The 22,223-nt window shown below is 43.3% G+C and overlaps 3 annotated features.

Moving 5' to 3' along the window:
- Positions 12,529-12,608: an enhancer, noted in NCBI's record as "active region_2147". NCBI's record gives its function as "activates an Ori minimal core promoter by ATAC-STARR-seq in GM12878 lymphoblastoid cells {active_cell/tissue: GM12878}" and the evidence as "EXISTENCE:reporter gene assay evidence [ECO:0000049][PMID:35858748]".
- Positions 14,713-14,852: an enhancer, noted in NCBI's record as "active region_2146". NCBI's record gives its function as "activates an Ori minimal core promoter by ATAC-STARR-seq in GM12878 lymphoblastoid cells {active_cell/tissue: GM12878}" and the evidence as "EXISTENCE:reporter gene assay evidence [ECO:0000049][PMID:35858748]".
- Positions 14,863-15,012: an enhancer, noted in NCBI's record as "active region_2145". NCBI's record gives its function as "activates an Ori minimal core promoter by ATAC-STARR-seq in GM12878 lymphoblastoid cells {active_cell/tissue: GM12878}" and the evidence as "EXISTENCE:reporter gene assay evidence [ECO:0000049][PMID:35858748]".

The raw sequence follows: 22,223 nt of genomic DNA, 5'->3' as shown, positions 1-22,223 counted from the left end.
TTGGTGCCCTCCCCATGGTAATGAGTGAGTTCCCACTCTGTTAGCTCACATGAGAGCCAGTTGTTTAGAGGAGCCTGGTGCCTCATCCTCTCTCTCTCTCTTGCCATGTGATACACTGTCCCTCCCTTTACCTTCTGCCATGATTGTAAGCTTCCTGAGGCCTCCCCAGAAGCCAAGCAGATGCTGCTGCCATGCTTTTACAGCCTGCAGAACTGTGAGCCAAATAAACCTCTTTTCTTTATAAATTACCCAGCCTCAGGTATTCCTTTATAGCAATGCAAACGGACCAATACAAGGTCATTTAGGGTTTAGCAGAACATCACACTGTTTTTTCAGTCCTAGGACAGCAGGTGAGTGCAAAGCATATGTTCTATGGGCTCCAACATGAATTCAATATGTATGTTCTGATTCATTCACACTCTACTCACTAAATAACCATTTGATATCTGAGAAGTCTTCAGAGTTTTAATGAAAAAATCTCTTCAAAGTATTATTTTCTTTGAATCCAGCATTCATATTTTCCATTGTTAAGAATAAGAATTAATAATAGTCCATAGAGTTTGCGTAGGTTTGAAACATTGCCAGAATCCTTTGTTTCTCAACTTCAGGGTTCCTTCAAAACATCTAATCACATAATCGTAATTTTAAAAAATACTTATATGTGGTGTGTGTGTCAACCATGGGCATGTGCCAGGAATTGTGCTAGGCACTTTGCGTTGTCACTAACATTTATAACAATGGTTGAAGGTAAGTATTACTTTCATTAACAGGCAAGGAAGCCGAGGCTCAGAAGATTTTAGGACTTGCCCAAGGCTAGAGCTGACAAGTCAAAAAGCAATTCTATTGAACTCTCTCTATTTGAATCCCCTTAGTTAATTTTCTTTAATTTAGAAAATGTTTATCAAGTGCCTCTATGTGCCAGGTGCTGTCCTAAGCCTGAGGAGAAAATCTTGAGGGGCTCCCAGTGAAAAGTCTCTCATTTTTATCCTTCAACATGTGATTGCAGATGGCAGGTAAAAAGGAGTTTCTGAGGTTGTACCAATTAGGGTATATTTGATTGCAAGTAACAGGAAACCCAACTCAAATTGCCTCTAGTTATCCTCTAATATCCATTTTCTTCTTCTACTAGGAGCACAGTCTCCAAGGTTTAGCCAGTCACGTGGCCTCCCAGAATAAAGACAAGTCTCTCAGCCTCACCTGAAGCTGGGTGTGGCTGTGTAATTAACTCCTAGCATACAAGCAGAAGTGCTATACGCCTCTTCTGGGAAGGATCATTTCCTTTTCTCCTTGCTGACGGGATTTGGGTGTGATGGCTGGAGTTGGAGAAGCCATCTTGGATGGGGGAAATACATTATGTGTTAATTTAGCTGACAGAGCTACCAGACAAAAGGTATGCTCTCCCTGGAAATTTTTTTTTTTTTTTTTTTTTTTGGCCTGGGAAATAAATAAAACTTAAACTTGTTGAAGCCACTCTTGTTTGGGGTTTCTGGTTACTTGCAACTGAACCTGATCCTAACTCATACACTGTTCACATAGCTGGAAGTGCAGAGGTGGGGTGGGCTCAGTGTTAGTTTGACTTGGCAGCTTGGTCTTTGTTCTGCTTTTGGTGCCAGTCTCATTTTAATACTGCCTTTCTCTCATGGGGCAAGATGGCTGCTAACAAAAAGATAGTTAGTACATGCTTCCTTATCAATTTTCAGAGAAAGGGAGAGAGAGAATCATGTCTACAGCCCTCTCATAAAAATGATAAAGCTCCTTCCCCAGAAGGCCTCTGATATCTTGCTTTTCATCGCCCTGAATTAGGTCAAATGTAGCCAGGGGATTGCCATGACTGATTGGTTTAGTTCTGACAGAACCAATCACTGTGGCAAGGGAATCAGACTTACATTAATTGACTTGGACTAATCAGGGTCTACCCCTGGAGGTGGGATAGTCTCTCTTTCCTCTTTCGTCTCTTTTCTCCCTTCCTCCCTTCTTCCCTCCCTCTCTCTCTCTCCCTTCCTTCCTTTCTTTTTCTTTCTTTCTTTTCTTTTCCTTTTCTTTCCTTTCCCTTTCCTTCTTTCTTTCCCTTCCTTCCTTCCTTCCTTCCTTCCTTCTCTCTCTCTTTCTTGACAGAGTCTCGCTCTGTCATCCAGGCTGGAGTGCAGTGGTGCAATCTTGGCTCACTGCAACCTCCTCCTCCCGGGTTCAAGCAATTCTCCCATCTTAGCATCCTGAGTAGGTGGGATTACAGGCATGCACCACTACGCCCAGCTCATTTTTGTATTTTTAGTAGAAATGGTTTTGCCATGTTGGCCAGGCTGGTCTCGAACGCCTGGCCTCAAGTGATCCGCCCACCTCAGCCTCCCAAACTGTTGGGATTATAGGCATAAGCCACGGCGCCCAGCTAGATAGTTTTTCTTTTTAAATTCAGGATAACAGACGAATTTAGGGTCAGTATAGTTAATCCTTGGCACCGATGAATTTAACCTTCCCAGTTTGTACAGCTTTGAAAGACTCCAGTGGTCTACAACTGTGCAAGGGGTGGTACAACACCTTCCTTCTGTGGGTGCTGAGAAGATTCAATGACATACATTGTCCTCTATTTCAGGAACTAGAGACTGGTGGGCTAGGAAGAGTCATTTTACTGGTGAGTCCCCAGACTGGCGCCATGCAGTCCCCAGATAAATGAACCCCTTGGAAATGAGCAGAATTGTCAGTACTACCTTCTCCCAGGCTGGCGTGTCTTAGGGAGGGCTGCTACCTGAGAATTTCTCCTCCAGCCCCCACCCACCTCTGCTCCAAGGCTGCTTGAGGTGTCTATAATTTCTGGAAGCTTTATTCTTCAGGATCAAGACATCTTCTTGCCAGAAAGTCCCCAGTAAGCTAGGAGGAGCAACACATTAAACCCAGCAGAAATTTGTTGATTAGGAAAATTAGAAAATTAAAAACCCCTCTTACTCATCCCCGCCATTTCCTCTACCATTACAGACAATGGGCCAGTGTGCAGTTGGGGTGTCGTCATAGAAAAGAACAAGTTCCCTGTTCAGGCTGATCAGAAAGGGCAGGATGGGCTATCATAGTGGGAGTCCTAAGTCCCTGCTGAGGATAGAAGGCGGGGATAATAGGAATGATCAGAAAGTGGAGATCATGGAGACATCAAAGTCAAATTCAGTGATTTAATAATTTAGCCAGCCGGGCACCGTGGCTCAGGCCTATAATCCCAGCACTTTCGGTGGCCAAGGCGGGTGGATCACTTGCGGTCAGGAGTTTGAGACCAGCCTGACCAACATGGTGAAACCCCGGTCTCTACTAAAAATAAAAAAATTAGCTCGGCACAGTGGTGCATGCCTGTAATCCCAGCTACTCGGGAGGCTGAGGCAGGAGAATCGCTTGAACTGGGGAGGCAGAGGTTGCAGTGAGCTGAGATCATGCCATTGCACTCCAGCCTGGGCAACAAGAGAGAAACTCTGTCTCAGAAAAAAAATAAAATAAAAATAAATAAAAATAAAAAATAAAAAGAAAATAATTTAGCCCTGGGCTAGCCTCATGCAATCTATGCTGAGTGACAAAATTGCTATCATTTGATTCCATGGCTATTGATTGACAACAGCTCTATTACTTCCCTTCTTGGATACACCAGTGGTTTCCAGAATCTTTGAAGCTTTGTTTCTTACTCATCCATCTGGCCTGTGGTATGCCCACATGGCTTAGTACACAGCCTTGTTAAAATGACAAGACTCCATCAATCTCCCCAAAATGGAAAAACAAAACAAAACAAAACAAACAAACAAACAAAAAACAGAAGAAGAACATTAATGCAGTACAGAAATCATGTCAGAGAAGGAGTGAAGCCAGAAACACTGTCCCAAAATAGGATTAGAGGGAGCTAAGTTGCAGTGGAAAGCAAAAGGTCTTTCTTACTTTCAACCAATTCTAGAAGCAACTTTTACAATGAACATCTTTTTCTGTAGTAAATTTATGTGGGCACTATCTTTCAGTACATCATCCATTCATTAGCTTATTTAAGCTTATCACTTAAATCAATGAAATATGTTGGATATTTAATCTCAAACTGTCAGGATCCAATTTATTCTTCTGAAGGGCCATTTCTGAAGTTCTTTTGAAGTGTCTTACTTCACCTTTACCCCAGTATTTCTCCAAGTGTCATCCCTGGACTATTCATATACAAATCACACAGCAGGGGAAAGAATAATGGTGGTGGTGGTGGTGGTGAGTATTAAAAATGCAACTGAGGCGGGCGGATCACTTCCGGTCAGGAGTTTGAGACCAGCCTGGCCAACATGGCAAAACCCTGTATCTACTAAAAACACAAAAATTAGCCAGGCATGGTGGTGCGTGCCTGTAATCCCAGCTAATCAGGAGGCTGAGGCACGAGAATTGCTTGAACCTGGGAGGCAGAGGTTGCAGTGGGCTATCGTGCCCACTGCATGCCAGCCTAGGTGACAGAGTGAGATTCTGTCCCAAACAAAACAAAAACCAGATGTCTGGGCTCTACCTGGGACCTATTAAATTAGACTCTGTGGAACTAGAGCCTGGAAATGAGCACTGAAAACCAGCAAGTCGTGTGATTTTAATGTACTTCACGGTTTAAGCACATTGACTCCTGTACAGTGCCAATAATAGTAACACCTTAGAGCTTATAGGGCTCTATGCTTTACAAAGACTTTTATGTAATATCTCATTTGAGCCTCACCATAACCCTCAAGGAAGAATGTCAGAACAGGTAGTATCATCTCCATTTATGAAGGAGAGACCACAGCTCTATGCTATCAAGTAACTTTTGTGAGGTCACACACAATAAATGGGGTAGCCTGGACTGCATCTCAGGTCTTGTAGCATCAACTTTGGTGCTCTTGCCATTACCCTGGATGATACTGACATTCCAATTTACTAAATAAGAAATCCAAATTCAGGTCGTGCACGGTGGCTCATGCCTGTAATCCTAGCACTTTGGGAGGCCGAGGCAGGTGGATCACTTGAGGCCTGGAGTTGGACACCAGCCTGGCCAACACGGTGAAACCCTGTCTCTACTAAAAATACAAAAATTAGCCGGGTGTGGTGGTGTGCACCTCTGGTCCCAGCTACTCAGGAGGCTGAGGCAGGAGAATCCCTTGAACCCAGGAGGCGGAGGTTGCAGTGAGCCGAGATCACACCACTGCACTCCAGCCTGGGCAACAGAGCAAGACTTCGTCTCAAAAAAAAAAAAAAAAGAAAGAAAAGAAAATCCAAATTCAGGCCACTGTCTTAAGGGAAAGACAACAGACATAGAGCACCCACAGGAAGGAGAACCTTTTGTGGCAAGGGAAAACAAAATGGTGAAAACTTGGAAGATATCAATAACAAGCATACTTACTGCCATTAGTGGCCTAATGATAATGCTGAATTTGTTCAAACTACAAGTATAATCAATTACATATTTATTATATATTTAGGTTTAGAATGGTTGACTCAATTGGCTTGAGCAGGAATGATCAAGTTTTTACCATAGTGAACCATGTGATCAGAAATTCAATTAAGTGAATGCCACCTTAGTTTACTTTTAAGAATGACAGTGTTGGCCGGGTACAGTGGCTCACGCCTATAATCCCAGCACTTTGGGAGGCCAAGGCGGGCAGATCAGCTGAGGTCAGGAGTTCAAAAGCAGCCTGGCCAACTTGGTGAAACCCTGTCTCTACTAAAAATACAAAAAAAAAAAAAATTAGCTGGGCATGGTGGCAGGCACCTGTAATCCCAGCTACTTGGGAGGCTGAGGCAGGAGAATGGCTTGAACCCGGGAGTGCAGTGAGCCGAGGGTGCGCCACTTGCACTCCAGCCTGGGTGACAGAGCGACACTCGTCTCAAAAAAAAAAAAAAAAAAAAAAAAAAAAAAGTAAAAGAAAAAACCCCCAAACAAACAAACAAAAAAAGAATGACAGTGTTGAATGAGAATCCATGTGACTCAAACCTGAGTCAAGGATGTAGGAGGAATTGATACCTACTTTCCTTTTGTCAGAAATCCATAATGTCCCAGTTTCATTCTGAATTTTAGTGGAAGTAAATCTGAGGAACTCAAAATTATCTCATGAATTATGATTCAGTTCAGTTAGAATTATTAGCTAATCCAAGCCCACTAAAGAGACACACACTGGTGATTAGTTTCACAAACATAGTGTTAGGCAGGTGAATAGTCCCTGAGGAACCCCTAGTTATAAGATACACCTGTTTTTCTTCTCCAAATCTCAGTGGCCACACTGTGGTGGCAGATGGGTCCCATTTAGCCTTGGACCCTTCGCCAGCCATTGGATTTATATCATAATGCTGTGGAGACCCAGGTGATGTGTCGGGCCCCGTCTGGAACTGCTAGTTAGGCCTTGCCTCATAGCTAGAGATTGCAAGGACAGCCATCTTGTGGCCTAAGAGAGCATGAATGGCCGGTTCAGAAGTATCAGAGAGGCCAGACCCCTCTCTGGCATGGCTTCAGGAAGCCATCTCTGGTAAGACACTGCATAAACTGAATAAGTCCTTTGTTAACTCAGACTCCGCATAAATTTTTACGTCACACTTGATGAAAAACGCAGATTAAACTACTGGGCTTATACCACTGTAATGAAGACATTTGGCTAACGGGCTCTTCAGGATTTATTATATTCAGTCCTGAGTTAGAATGAATCCAAGCTGTTTGGGCACAACCTGGCTACAATATGTGATTACATTTCTGTAAGTGCTGGTCAGCCTGTGTGTTTTTCCATGACCCCATTTGTCTAATTTCCTCTGTTTTTATTTTTGTTATTTTGATATCCAGATATTTATCTTTCCTCTACCACTGAGACAAAGAATAGCTTGGTTTTCAAAATAGTTTGCGGTTAATACTTTTTTGGTCATCTGGATTTATTGAAATGTATGATGTGCATAATCGGTATAGTGTTTCACGGCACTTGAGGGGCAAGAAATATTACTTTGTTTTTCTGGATCATCAAATTCATCTCCAGTATTCTCTGAGCCCAGGAGCAATCATCTGGGGAGGGGTCCTCCCTCTCCATCACCCCTCTCTTGAGTTGTCCCAGGCTTCCAGGGCTTACTCAGTCTAGGAGGATGGGGAGAAAAGCCTCTGTCATTAATCCATTTGGTCACTGGAGAAGATGCTCTCACGCAAGCCTGCATGGACCTCTGATGGCTGGGAGCCCTGCAGCTATACTTCCTCCTCACTAGAGCAGACAGCTGTTCCTGAGCCGAGGAGTTGGAGGTCCAGCTTCAACAACATCCACACAGCCATCCGCCAGTCAAGGTCCTATCAGCTCCTGGGCACTGTCTCTCCCCAACTCTAAATGCCTCATGGCCCTGATCCCACCTCCACCCTCAGCCTTCTCCTGCCTGGAACCAGTGCTCCCAAGATTTGGAGCACTGTCCCTTGGGAGCCAAATGTGTCCCTTGGGAGCCAGGGACATAAAAACACTGAAGCTTGCTGCCTTCTCTGAGGTTAGGGGAGAATTCCCTTCAGTTCAATCCACAGCAACAACAACAATAAAACCTCCACAAAACCAAAAACCACAAATAAAAGGGCACAACACTAGAAAATTTCTCAACAATCCACTCTAAGTAGGATATATATATATGGCTATAATTCTTCTTGAGTTTTCTCTACAATTTTATTTAAATAATGTTTCTTTTTTCCATTTTTTGTTGTTGTTTTGTTTTGTTTGTTTTTTGAGACGAAGTCTTGCTCTTGTCGCCCAGGCTGGAGAGCAATGGCGCAATCTCGGCTCACTGCAACCACCACCTCCCAGGTTTAAGCTATTCTCCTGCCCCAGCCTCCTGAGTAGCTAGGAATACAGGTGCCCGCCACCACACCTGGCTAATTTTTGTAATTTTTTTTGTAATTTTGTACTTTTAGTAGGGGTTTCACCATGTTGGCCAGACTGATCTCAAACTCCTGACCTCAGGTGATCCACCCACCTCGACCTTCCAAAGTGCTGGGATTATAGGCATGAGCCACCGTGCCTGGCCTCTTTTTTCCATTGTTATACTGCTTATATTCCTCCCTCCCCTCTCCCTATATATTTTCAACTGAAGCAGTTGAATCTATTTCTGGAATACCCATTTTATTCAATTAGTGATTTTTTTTCTTCTCCCTGTTTTGAAGTTGATACCATATTTTCATGAAGATTTAGTTGTTACAGGTTTCAAAATCTAATAGGGTCTACCAAAAATGAAAAAAAAAAGATTTTGTTATGGTTTACAGCTCTTTTGGACTAATTTCACATTATTTGTCAAGTTGTATAAATGATCTTTGGGAATTTTAATTGCATTAAATTCACATACTCGTTTAAGACATATTATCTTTACTGTATTCTCTTCTCAACCAGAAGCAGAGTAAATGACTTTGCCATTTTTTAACGTCTCCCTTTGTGTTTCCTATTATGGTGTTTTACATTTCTTAGAATAAGATAGTTTTTTCATTCCAAGTTGAGTCAATACTGAAGAATGTATGTTGTTTTATTACTGTTATAGAATGGAATCTTTTTTTGTGTATATCACCAGTACAAAGAATAACACCAAATTTTGTGGAGTTAGCCTGTAATCCAGAGCTCCTTATCACCTCTTGCCTCTTGGGCTTCATAAATATATAATAATATCATCTCTCAATGATACTTTCTTCCTTTTCTGTGTAGCTCCCTCCATTTGCCCTTCTCTGACATTACTGTCAGCATTGCAGTACTGTGCTGAGTGTAATGATGGCAGAGGCAGACTGGCTTTGTTTCTAATTTGAAGGGATTCTCTATTTTATATAATATTGGCTTTTAGCTTTAGTTTCTTTATGAAAGAAACTTTAACAGAGAAACTCTCCTTATTCAAATATTTAGTTTTCAAAAAGAATAGTTGTTGAATTGGTTTGAGTAATTTTTTGGTAGCTGTTGTGATAATGAAGTTATTTTATAAATTTATCATATTAGCACAGTAATTTAAAACCTATCACTTGAATAGATATGTGGACAATACAGTAATATCTGGACTTGACTCACAACTCAAAGCAAAAAAAAACAAAAAAACAACAAAAAAATGAAGAACCCAGTAAGTAAAAAAACCAACTAACCCAGTAGCTCAGAAAAGCCCATGCTTCTTTATGAAAGAAGCGCAGTTTATTTAGGAGTGTTTCTTTCCTTTAGGAGGCCCACCACTGGCAGTCTTTGAAATGTGCTCAGTGGTTTACCCAGACCACTCTTTTTTTTTTTTTTTATTTGAGACAGAGTTTCACTCTGCCACCCAGGCTGGCGTGCAGTGGCGGGATTTTGGCTCACTGCAACCTCCAACTTCGGCCTCCCAGGTTCAAGCGATTCTCCTGCCTCAGCCTCCCGAGTAGCTGGGATTACAGGCATGCACCACCACACCCGGCTAATTTTTGTGTTTTTAGTGGGGACAGGGGTTCACCATGTTGGCCAGGCTGGTCTCGAACTCCTGACCTCAAGTGATCCTCCCACCTCAGCCTCCCTAAGTGCTAGGATTACAGGCATAAGCTGCTGCACCTGGCCCAGACTACTTCTTACCCCTGTTTCCTGGACAACGTGAAGCCGCCTTTGCAAAATTATGACTGAGACACTGGAAGGGATCTAACTTAACCGACTCCATCTTGCTTCTAACCTCCAAGCTGTCTTTGTTCATTCCTGGGCATAGGCTGAACTAACTTTGGGAGAAACTTTGCGGTTTATAGTTTAAACAAAGACAGTAACAGCCCTTTCCCAAAGCAGACCTCCTTCTTGTCTGAGGACTAGATTAACATTAGCCACAGGATTAGAAATTATGGTTTAGGAGTCATGCAGCTGGAGGCTACAAGATTCTGACCCTCCCTAAACTGCTCCTAAGATCAGTGCTTGAGATATTTTGCAGACTTAGCTTTGATGGATCAGCTGGCACCACCCAAATCGATAAACTGGCTCATCTAATCTTGTGGCCCCCACCCAGGAACTGACTCAGTGCAAGAAGACAGCTTCCACTCCCTATGATTTCATCCTGACCAATCAGCACTCCTGGCTCACTGGCTCCCCGACCTACCAAGTTATCCTTAAAAACTTTGCTCCCTGAATGCTCGGGCGACTGATTTGAGTAATAATAAAACTCTGGTCTCTTGCACAACCAGCTCTGCGTGAGTTACTCTTTCTCTATTGCAATTCTCATCTTGATGAATGAGCTCTGTCTAAGCAGAGGGCAAGGTGAACCCCTTGGGCAGTTACAAGTATATGTGCATCGGAACAAATACCAGAGGAAAAACATCAAATTGTTTTTGAGTAATTCCTGTTTTAGCTGGGTAATTCTCATTTTTACCATTATACTCTTCTTTTCTTTTTTTTTTTTTAGACAGGGTCTCACTCTGTTGCCAAGGCTGAGTGCAATGGTGCGATCATGGCTCACTGCAGCCTCTACCTCCCAGCTCAAGCAATCCTCCCACCTCAGCCACCTGAGTATCTGGGACCACAGGTGTGCACCACCATGCCCAGGTACTTTTTATATTTTTTTGTAGAGACGGGTCTCACTATATTGCCCAGGCTGGTCTCAAACTCTTAGACTCAAGTGATCCTCCTGCCTCAGCCTCCCAAAGTGCTGAGATTATAGGCATGAGCCACCATGCCTTGGCCATTATACACTTCTATGTCTTCTAAACATTCTACCAAAGAATTGTATTAATTTTCAGTGAGAGCAATAAATGTTTTTTAATTATAAAAATTACACATTCTCGTGGTCAAATAGCCAAATAGTATTCTTCCAGAATTTTTCTATGCACATAGAAGTATAATTTCACTTTTAAAAAGACACACAAATAAAGGCAGGCTACACACATTGTTCTCCATCTTGTTTTTTCACTTGCAATGTCTTGGTCATATTTTCATATTAGAACCTCTGTATTTACCTCATTCTTTATAGCAGTTGCAGGGGATTCCATTGAATGGTTGTATCATGACTGACTTAGCCAATCCATTTTTCAGATGTATTTAAGATGCTTTGAGGTGTTTTGCTATTATAAATACACTATATATCCTTTTTTTTTTTTTTTTTTGAGACAGATTCTCGCTCTGTTGCCCAGGCTGGAGTGCAGTGACATGATCTTGGCTCACTGCAAGCTCCGCCTCCTGGGTTCACGCCATTCTCCTGCCTCAACCTCCCGAGTAGCTAGGACTACAGTCACCCACCACCATGCCCAGCTAATTTTTTGTATTTTTTTTAGTAGAGACGGGGTTTCACCGTGTTGACCAGGATGGTCTCGATCTCCTGACCTCGTGATCCACCTGCCTCAGCCTCCCAAAGTGCTGGGATTACAAGCGTGAGCCACTGCGCCCAGCCTACACTACATATCCTTATACATTGCACATACATTTTATTATATATGAACGATACCTAGCAATGAAATTACTAGGCGAAAGGGCATGTATATTTACAACTTTGATAGTTATTGCCAAATTGCCCTCACCTTCACTAACTATGGGTTAAATTTTTTTTTATTATACTTTAAGTTTTAGTGGGTTAAATTTTTTTTAACCTTTGCCAGTTGAATATATGTAAAAACAAGAGATTCTTTTACAAAATACTTATAAAGAAAAATGTTCCATCATTGAGCAATATGAAGTATATATTTCAACAGTCCAAAATACATTAGATAATTATACAATTCTTTTAGCCAAGATTGTGACTCAGGGTTGTAATATTTTCTCTCAGTATCCATTTATGAAAAACTACTGTTTATTGTTAATTGTTACTGTGTATCTAGTAATGAAAGCCCAGCCCTATTTATAGTAGAACGTGAGAGTTATCTTATGACTAAAATTGCTATGATTCATGGTACGAGACAGTCACTAAAATTTTCATCCCTGTGATTGAATAACCCAAAAGAATGCACCATGGTTGCAAAGTATAGTTGAAAAGAAGGAAGATTTTCAGAGGGGGCCATTCTCAGGGATGGGGCTGAAGCCTGACCACTGTCCACAGGACAGACGAGCACAGAATACACTTTTTAAGATTAGCACCACAATGCTTATGCAGTCTGGTAGTCAATCTTTTCTCCATCACTCAGTATCATATCATGAGCATTTTTCTATGTCATTAGTCAATAATAAAAATATTTTTTCCAGCATTATTCAGTCTTTCTCTATATTATAACCCAAGGCAGTTTTAGCTTGAGCTTTCCATTGCTGGGTAGCCCAGTGCCCTGGAATGAGAATAGACTTCAGAATTAGACTTCAGAATCTACATTCAAGTCATGCTTCTGCCAGTTAGTTATGTGATCTTAGGCAAGTTGCATAACCGGACTGAACCACATTTTCCTCTTCAGTAATCTGGGTAAAATAAAAGCCAGCTCTCCCCCACACTACGATACTGTGAGGATTAGAGGAAGTAACACAGGCAAAGTGCTTTTTTTTTTTTTTTTTTTTTTGAGACAGAGTCTTGATCTGTCACCCAGGCTGGAATGCAGTGGCATGATCTTTGCTCTCTATAGCCTCCGCCTCCTAGGTTCAAGCAATTCTCGCGCCTCAGCCTCCTGAGAAGCTGGGACTACAGGTGTCTGCCACCACACCCAGCTAATTTTTTGTATTTTTATAGAGATAGGATTTCACCATGTTGGCCAAGCTGGTCTCAGACTCCTGACCTCGGGTAATCTACCCATCTCGGCCTCCCAAGGTGCTGAGATTACAGGCTTGAACCACAGTGCCCGGCCGCAAAGTGCTTTTTGCATTGTTAAGTAGTAAGAAGTGACTCATTGCTTTAACTCAGACCCAAAGGGCCTCTCCCTGGGTCTCCTGACTCCCCCTTCTCCTTACTTGAGTGATTGAGGTCCTCTGAGAGGAACCCCCTCTTGAGCAGTGAAGACCAGACTTTTATTCTGTCACTTAAAGACTCTCACAGTCTGAACCAAACTTAGGCCCATCTGCTGATCCCGGTATCTTGCCACCATTTCAGTCCATTTCTTGTACTTTCACATAAAAGCCTAATTTTTAGGTATCTTGCTGATATTGCCATTTGCCCTTTATTTTCTCTTATGCCTGGCCCAGTGCCAACTTTCTTGTGAGGACTTCCCTGACATCGAAGACTACTATGGTTTACTCCTCTGGGCTCACACAGCACTTGGTCTCTATTGCTGACCTATACATGGTTATCACATAGTTCAAGAATTCCTTGACTCTTGGGGCATAGTTGTCACCTTTTAGGTAGTCTGCTAATCCTATGACTCCTCTCTATTTTTTCAAGACTTGCCTCTTACGCAGCAACCCTATTTGGCCACAGCTGATGGACAAGGGTGAACCCCTGGGCCAATAAGATTCTCTCTTCAGGGACTTTAGAATTGACAGCCAGGATGTTGGTCAGTATTGCTGGAAGTGAGAACACGGCCTTCAGGAGTTGACTCAGCCTTTGTGAAGTGCCCATTTTTGGCCCACCCAGGTACACAGAGGTAGAGAATGTTGTCTGCCAAGGAGATCCAAAAGCAATGAACAGACACCAGAAGCCACGTAACCCAGTGAGAGAAAATGACTGAAAGAAAGCACCTTGGTATCTGAAAGCTTTCTAATTCAGGGTTCCAGTGCTTGAGAGGCCCAGCTATAGTTTCAGCAGCTTTGGGCTCTGTGAACTATCCCTGTATAAATAAATGTCTCCCTTGTGTTTAAGAAAGATGGGTATCATAAAATCATGTGAATGTTCGGTAATAGAGACACATCCAAAGTTTCACGGGGCACCTGGAGGTGAGGGAAAGTAGTCAGGAATGGCTTTCTGTAGAAGGTGATGTTGGTTGGACCAGTAGGGAGGGCACTTCAGACAGCGAGAACAGCATAAGCAATGCTGGGAGCTGCAAGCAGTTCAGTGTTGCTGGCACATAAAGGCATGGACTGGCCAGGAGTGAGGCTGGCCGGAGAGGGTGGCCAGGGGCCCAGTCAGGAGCATCTTGGGTGCCATGGGAAGGAGCCTGGACTTTATCCTGCAGGTCAGGGGTTCTCAACCATGTTTGCACATTAGGATTTCCTGGGAAATTTTAAAAAGAAATATGGTTTCTTTCTCCCATCCAGTCCACTTAAATCAGAATCTCTGGGAATGGAAGCAGGAACTGATTTTTTTTTTTTTTAAGGGCCCAGGTGATTCTAATGAGCAGATAGGCTGGAGAACCTGACAGGATGCCTTGAAGGGGTTTAAGTGAGATATAGACATGGTTTTAGAAAGATCACCATAGATGCTAGACTTTGAGGATGAGACAGAAGGCGGGGTGACTGTGGGCAAACTGCTGCAGTGTGCAGGGAGACGCTGAAGAGAACCTGAAATGGGATGAGGGTGCCAGAATAGAGGGGAAGTTTGCAAACATTATTTAGGAGACAAAATAGTTTTCAGTTTAAGATTTAGTGACTGGAGAGAGATGGAAGGTAGTCAGGGTTGTCCTGAGGGTCCTAGCTTGGGTGACTAAAATTGCCCCAGGCGGCACTCACCAGGGTTAAGCTGTGGATGTGTGGAATATGAGGTGGTGCCTGGTAAAGATCAGGCAGCTGAATAAGGCACCTAAGGCTTCAGGGCTAGACCAGGTGGAAACAAATTTCAGTTTCACAGCTCATTTTGAGTGTTGTCATTTATTTTTTATCATTTATTGAGGAGAACCTCCAAAAAAAAGTCACTTTTGTAGGTTACAAGGTGTTATGGGTGTTGAAAGCAGAGTGAGCCCCACCCCAGACCACCTCCTGAGACAGGGTGTGATGTGTGTCTCCAAGTGCCTTGAAGTCAAGTGACTTCTCAGAGAGGTCTAAAATTAGCAGAGCAGCTGTGCCTAGTGGGTGGCAACACCTCAGCTCACTAGGCCGAGAATGGGGCCTTCCTGCTGTGGGCTCTGTTGTGTGAGTAGGTCAGGAGTTAAAAGCAAGAATCTGTTTCTTTGGAGAATTTCCCCAGGAGCTGCATGTAGTCCCAGTGTGCTCAAAGAGAAGAGAAAATGTCTTCTGTTGCCAGGTGGAAGGGAAAGAACAGGGAGGGGTATGTTGGAAAGAAGCTTCATAGAAGGGCTGATTTTCAAGAACGTTCTCTATGGAAATGACGCCCTTAATGACAGGTGAGGAGTGGAGGAGCTCACACTGGGGAGTCAGTTCTGACAACTGGAAACCTGCTGTGGGCTGTGTTTTGCACAGAATAATGCTGTGTAGATGCTTTTTTTTTTTTTTTTTTTTTTTTTTGAGACAGAGTCTTGCTCTGTCGCCAGGCTGGAGTACAATGGCGCGATCTCGACTCACTGCAAGCTCCGCTCCCGGGTTCACACCATTCTCCTGCCTCAGCCTCCCGAGTAGCTGGGACTACAGGTGCCCACCACACCCAGCTAATTTTTTTTTTTTTTTTTTGTATTTTTAGTAGAGATAGGGTTTCACCGTGTTAGCCAGGATGGTCTCAATCTCCTGACCTCATGATCTGCCCGCCTCAGCCTCCCAAAGTGCTGGGATTACAGGCGTGAGCCACTGCGCCCGGCCTGTAGATGCTTTCTTGTTGTGGGTTTTCACTCTCGGGGGTGGTTCAACCTGGCCTCCAGATCAGGCCTCTGCTGCCAACCCTGCCAACCCAAGGGATTTGTGGTGGGGGCCAGGCAGGTAGGTAGAAGTGGAGGGAGAGGAATCTCTTCACATTTTTTTTTAACATAGTATAGATGTATATAACATATTAAGCATACATTTTAATAGTTTTATATAAAAACTAACCCTCAAGACATATAAAAGCCTGGAGAGGAGATTGGAGGGGAAGGGTAGTAAATGACACAATGTTTCGTTGTGTTTCCATTAGGTTGGATTCTCTCTTCCTTGAGCTTTTGTCTACAGATTATTCTACACACACAGGAAGGATGACTGAGAAAATGAAAAATGGCAAGATACAGGACTCACTACCTAACTGAAAAGTTAAGCATGAACAAGCTGTAGGGGTATTATATATCCAGGAGTATTAATTTATATGGCATTTATCTGGGGATTTTTTTCCTACAAAATACCACCATAATCCCAGATGATACCAGAAAATATTTAATAGCAAGATTAAAAAATTAATCTTAACATGTCCTTTACGTTAATGTCCTCCATTCACACAAGGAATCCCCATTCTCCACCCAGAGATCCCAGCTATCTCCATAACCACGGGAAGTTGGTGAGATTGCCTGGAGCAGCCGCTGTGAAAGGCAGGGAGGAGTACAAAAGGAGGAAGCAGATGGGATGCTCCTAGGGCACCTACGGACTGAAAAGGAAGACTTCTGGGCTGGGTCTCAGGGATCATGTTGAGTTCAAGGAAAGAAACTCCCCAAGAAGCTGTGTCCGTTTGGCCTGTATGCGAGCAGATGTGCATTATCTTGGCCAAGCTGCTTCTCTGAGCTCCGAAAGACTTGCTTTGCTTGAAATAGTCTCTTTTGGCCGGGCACGGTGGCTCACGCCTATAATCCCAGCACTTTAGGAGGCCAAGGCGGGTGGATCACAAGGTTAAGAGATCGAGACCATCCTGGCCAACATGGTGAAACCCCGTCTCTACTAAAAATACTAAAAAATTAGCTGGGCATAGTGGCGCGCGCCTGTAGCCCCAGCTACTTGGGAGGCTGAGGCAGGAGAATCACTTGAACCCGGGAGGCAGAGGTTGCAGTGAGCTGAGATCGCGCCACTGCACTCCAGCCTGGTGACAGAGTGAGACTCCGTCTGGAAAAAAAAAAAAAAAAAGAAAGAGTCTCTTTTGTAATCTTGGTTGTGTTTTCTAGTGAGTTCTTGGATGCATTTAGGAGGTGCTACCATAACTAGGAGACCAAGAGGGCAGCAATTCACTCATGAGGGAGGGCAGAGAGAGTCCCAGGGAGGAGGGAAAACTGTGGGTGGAGCTGAGTGCTAGAGGCAAGAACTCAAAGAGAAAGCGGGGACAGATGAGATTGATGGTGCCATACAACCCTCCTTTCAAAGCTGAGTATTTAACATTGTTGAAAAATCAGCATTCATCCCTTTTATTTTATAACTGGTAAAGACCTTTATAATCCTTCAGTGGCCGAGAGGACCTACTGGGCCAGTCTGCTCTGTGACTCTCCCTCATATCTAATGAAATGGGCAAGGCACTCCCAGAGGCAGGCCCTGGGCCCTTGGGTCAGGGATCTACCCCTGCTTTTGAACTTCTTTTGGCCTCCTTCAGTGCTCTGCCCCTTATAGCCGGGCTTCAGGGTATAGTCCATGTCCATGTGGTTGCTTATACCTCAAAGCTACTTCTGGATAGCCTGAGCCAATCTCGTGCTACTCAAGAAGTAAAGGAGAAGAATTTCCAACTATATACCTGGCTTTGTGAATAGTCTATGGGAGCTACTTATTGGGAGCCTCCACAGAAAAACCTGTTTCCCACTGTTACATATGCTCACTTTTCATCCATTCAGATGCAGAGGCTAAAATGTAAAACCTAATATAAATTCAAAAAGGAGGTACATAAGCATTTCTGTATCTATCACTTGCAATGCTCTTTTTACCTGGACAAATCAAGAGCGAACCTGTTCTTATTTGAGGTCACAGGAACGGCACGTCTTTTGTGACATTTCAGGCTCAGCTTACGGAGAGTTTCTTAGTGGTGAACCAGGATGTTTTGGTGATAACTTGCAAAAGGGATGAGTGAAGTAACTACAATGAAGACTGATGATCTAGATTCAGGATTCCATTCCCTTCTTGTTCCTATATGGTTGAACATTGGGAGACACTCCCAGGATCTCCATTTGTTTCTCCATAACTTTAAAAGCAACCAAAATTTTTAACTAGCTCTATGCACCATGCTAAATGCTTTATATAGATATATGTGTGGAATTTAGTCCTCAAAACAATTTTGTGAGATAGGTGTGGGTAACCCCATTTTACAGATGAGGACTCTTTGAGTCCCTGAGAGGTTAAGTAACTTGCCCGAAGTCTGAGTGCTGGTGAGTGGTGGATCTAAGATTCTAAACCAGCTCATCTGATGCCAGGTCCACATACTTTATGCATTTTACCTTCTGGGAAAGAACTAATGCCTCTTTTCGTAAGGTTTGAGAGAACAAATAAGAAAGTACATATAAAAAGCTTTGAGAGTTGGGAATCAAGGTATCTGTAAGCCTTAGATTCTTAAGTATGGTGAAAAGAAAATTGAAAGGGATCAGTTAAAATCTCACAAGATCAAAATGTATTGCTCAGGGATTCTCAAAATTAGGAATTGTAAGTAGAAACATGGATCTCAGCCTTTTTATCTATAGGTAAGAGGCTGAAAAGGCTCAGTTTTGCTGCAGATTCCAAATTGATGAATATGTGTGATGGCTTTCCAAGTGAGAAGAGCTCTCTGAGTCTTGAAAAAATGGTTTATGACCACAACTTATAGGAGGACTATTAGTGAAGGAAATATGGACTTCCAACTGTTTAAAACAGATTTTAAGAAAGAAACCATGACTGTTTTACAAAAGTCTTGTGTAATGGACAGAGATAGCCATGTTAGTTTCCATTTTCTGCAGAAAGGGGGCATCTCATTTAATTCAAATCAACCCAACAGTCCTCGGGGTTTGGAGACCTCTGTCATTCTCCAGATTTAGCCAGGCCAAAGTATAACATATACATGCCTTAGATGTCTTACAAAAGTCACGTCACTCCAGAGAAAATGTGAATACCTCACAGAAGCTCTGGGGACAGTCCACTGACTTCAATTATTTTGGAAAGAAAGTGAAAGCTCAGGAGTGGCCTTTGAGTTGTGACACCCCCCCTTGCATTGCAGGGACTGGCCTCAAATCAATCTAGGCTCTCTGGATAGGCTGGCTTCAGAGCATTTGGTTCTGAAGTGATCTAAACAAAGACATATTTTTTATGGCTATTCTAAAAAGATAGCTGTTGCTGGGCATGGTGGCTCATGCCTGTAATCCCAGCATTTTGGGAGGCTGAGGCGGGCAGATCACCTGAGGTCAGGAGTTCAAGACCAGCCTGGCCAACATGGTGAAACCCAGTCTCTACTAAAAATACAAAAATTAACCGGGTGTGGTGGTGGGTGCCTGTAATCCCAGCTACGCAGGAGGCTGAGGCAAGAGAATTGCTTGGACCCGGAAGGCAGAGGTTGCAGTGAGCTGAGATCGTGCCCCTGCACTTGAGCCTGGGCGACAAAGCAAGACTCCGTCTCAAAATAAATAGGTAGATAAACAGATAGCTAGCTAGCTATCTGGTCTACCCTGTCCTCTGATGTTAGATGCCACAGAAATAGAGAAAATGCAATGTCTTCTTTTCACAGTCTAACTCTGTTGGATAACATGATTTTCCTATTTGACTGTGTTTTTCATGTTGTTAACTCCATATGTAGAATATGTCAGAGCCATGAAGGTGTTTGGCTGAGAATCTTGGAGGCTGGGGTTGTAAACTGAATGTGTAGCCTCCTTCGATGGGAGGAGTATTCACAGAATCTGAGTGCTGAGTGTGGGAGATAATTTGAAGTAGGCAGCGTCTAAAATAGTTCCTGACAACCCAGTGCAATGACTCACACTTTGGGAGGCTGAGGCAGGAGTTTGACACCAGCCTCAGCAACATCATCAGACCCCGTCTAGACAAAATAAAATAAAATAAATTAGCCTTTAGTGGCACATGCCTGTATCCTAGCTAGACAGAGGCAGGAGGATTGCTTGAGCCAGGAGTTCGAGGCTGCAGGGAGCTATGATTGCATCCCTGGACTCTGGCCTGGGCAACAGAGTGAGACCCTGTCTCTTAAAAAAAAATTAAATAAAAATTGAAATGAAATAAAATCATAAAATAGCTCCTGATGATTTCCCCCTTCTAGTATTCATGCTCTTGTGCAGTTGCCTACAGCCTCCCTGGGGTATGGCCTGGGCTTAGTGAGTCAATTCTAATGAACAGAATATGGCAAATGTGATGGGATGTCACTTTTTAATACATTTATTTATTTTGAGACAGAGTCTTGCTCTGTCGGTCAGGCTGGAGTGCAATAGTGCAATCACAGCTCACTGCAGCCTTGAACTCCTGGTCTCAAGCTGTCTTTCTGCCTCAGCCTCCTGAGTAGCTAGGACTACAGGCATGTGCCACAACGTGCTAATTTTTTATTCTAGGAGAGATGGGGTCTCACTATGTTGCCCAGGCTGGTCTCAAACTCCTCGGCTCAAGTGATCTTCATATCTTCTCCTTCCAAAGTGCTGGGATTATAGGCATGAGCCACTGTGCCTGGCCAGAATGCTACTTTCCTGATAAAATTACATGTAGACTCTGACTTCTGCCTTGCTTGCCCTCTCCTATTCTATATCTTTGATCTTCTGTAGTTTGAATATGATATGCCCAGGTATAGTTTTGGGATTTTTTGTTTGTTTTTGCATTTGTCCTTCTTGGTGTCCTCTAAGCTTCCTGGATCTGTCGCTTGGTGTCCGACATTATTTCGTGGAAATTGTTGGTCATTGTTTCAAATAATTCTTCTGTACTTTTCTCTCTTTCTTCTCTTTCTGATATTCTCATTGTGCATGTGTTATATCTTCTGTAGTTTTCCACCAGTTCTTGGATGTTCTGTTTTTGTTTTGTTTTGTTTCCAGTCTGTGTTCTCTTTGCTTTTCAGTTTTGGAGGTTTCTATTGATGTATCCTCAAGCTCAGAAATTCCTCACCCACGTCCAGTCTCCTGTGAAGACCTTCAAAGGCATTCTGCATCTCCCTTAGAAATTTTGATCTCTAGCATTTCTTTTAGATTCTGTCTTAGGATTTTCGTCTCTCTGCTTCCATTGCTCATCTGTTCTTACATGCTGTCTGCTTTCTCCATTAGAACCTGTAATAGACTAATCATAGATATTTTAAATTCCCATTCTTATAATTCCAACATCCCTGCCATATTTGGTTCTGATGCTTGCTTTGTCTCTCTAAACTGTATTTTTTGACTTTTAGTATGCCTTGTAATTTTTTCTTGTTAGCTGGTCATAGTGTACTGGGTAAAAGGAACTGCTGTAAACAGACCTCTAGTAATGGGGGGGTGAAGTGGGGAAGGCATTCTGTGGTCCTGTGGTTAGTCTCAGCCTCTTAGTGAGCCTGTGCCTCTGAACTTCACAAGTGCTTCTCAGTCCCTTGTCTCCTCCCCACCTTATGTGGGACAGGATGGCTAGAGTTGCTGGAGTAGGGTATTTCCCTCCCCCAGGTCGGGTAGGCTGTGATAAAATCTCAGGGGCTTAGGCTCTGGTTGAATAGTTTCTCCTAAGGGAAGGCCTTGTTAAGAACAGGGTGCTCTGTGCATTTCAAAATCGTTCCTTTCTCCCTCCCTTTGCCAGAAGCATGAGGGCATTTTTCTCTGACATTTAATGTGAGAACCTGGTCGAGATTTTGAAGGTAAGTTTCACAAAAGTGTGGATGGAGCCCCCCTTATGTCTGGGTCCCCCTGGAGTCTTTTTACTCTCAGACTTGTCCACACACAGCCAACAGTAATTTATCATTTACAGTTTGGATTTTTCTATCTTGGCACTAGTTCCCACAGAGATTTCTGCTCATGAATTTCTGCTCTGGTAGGTAAGTTGTGATTCTCTGTATCCATCTGTCTTGTCTCTCCAATTCTGGGGGCAGTGGTTGTCCCTGGGTCCTCACTTCTCTTAGAGTTCTAAGAAGAGTTGATTATTCAGTTTGTTCAGCTTTTTGCTTGTTGTTAGGGGGCAGTGGCATCTTCCAAGCTTTGAAGTACCAGAAAGCAGAAGTGTCTCTTGCTAGCTCGATTGAAGCCTGTCGCCATGTTATGAGCTGCCCTATGGAGAGACCCAGATATCGAGAAACTGAGGGAGGCCTCCAGCTAACAGCCAGCAAGGAACTGAGGTCCTTATTCCAAATGAGACTCTTACTCTGGGACTCCAAGAGGGATTGAATTCTGCCTAACAATCACTTGGGCGAGCTAAAAAGTTGATCATACCTGGTGGAGCCCTGAGTGATCACTGCCCCAGCTGACGCCTCCACTGCAGCCTCAGGGAGACTCTGACGCTGGGGGCTTGGCCACACAGTGCCTGGGTTCCTGACTACAGACTTCATGAGATCATCAGAGTTCTTTGTTTCAAGCTGCTAGGCTTTGAGTTAATTTGTTGTGTCTTTTAAGATAATGAATACTTCATCCAGTCCAATTTCTGTATTCTCAAAGAGCTGATGGAGACCTGGAGAACGTCAGTCCTTTTCCTACGCTCTCACACACTCGGACCAGATTTGAAGCCAGGCCCCTGAATTTCCTGGCCTGGGCCCTCCCATCTCTTTGAATGCTCTTCTGCAATTTGGCATTACGGAGA

Source organism: Homo sapiens, chromosome 1 (assembly GCF_000001405.40).
Source record: "Homo sapiens chromosome 1, GRCh38.p14 Primary Assembly".
Classification (NCBI taxonomy): Eukaryota; Metazoa; Chordata; class Mammalia; order Primates; family Hominidae; genus Homo; species Homo sapiens.
Note: the sequence above shows the minus strand (reverse complement) of the source record. Positions and strands in the feature narration are given on the sequence as shown.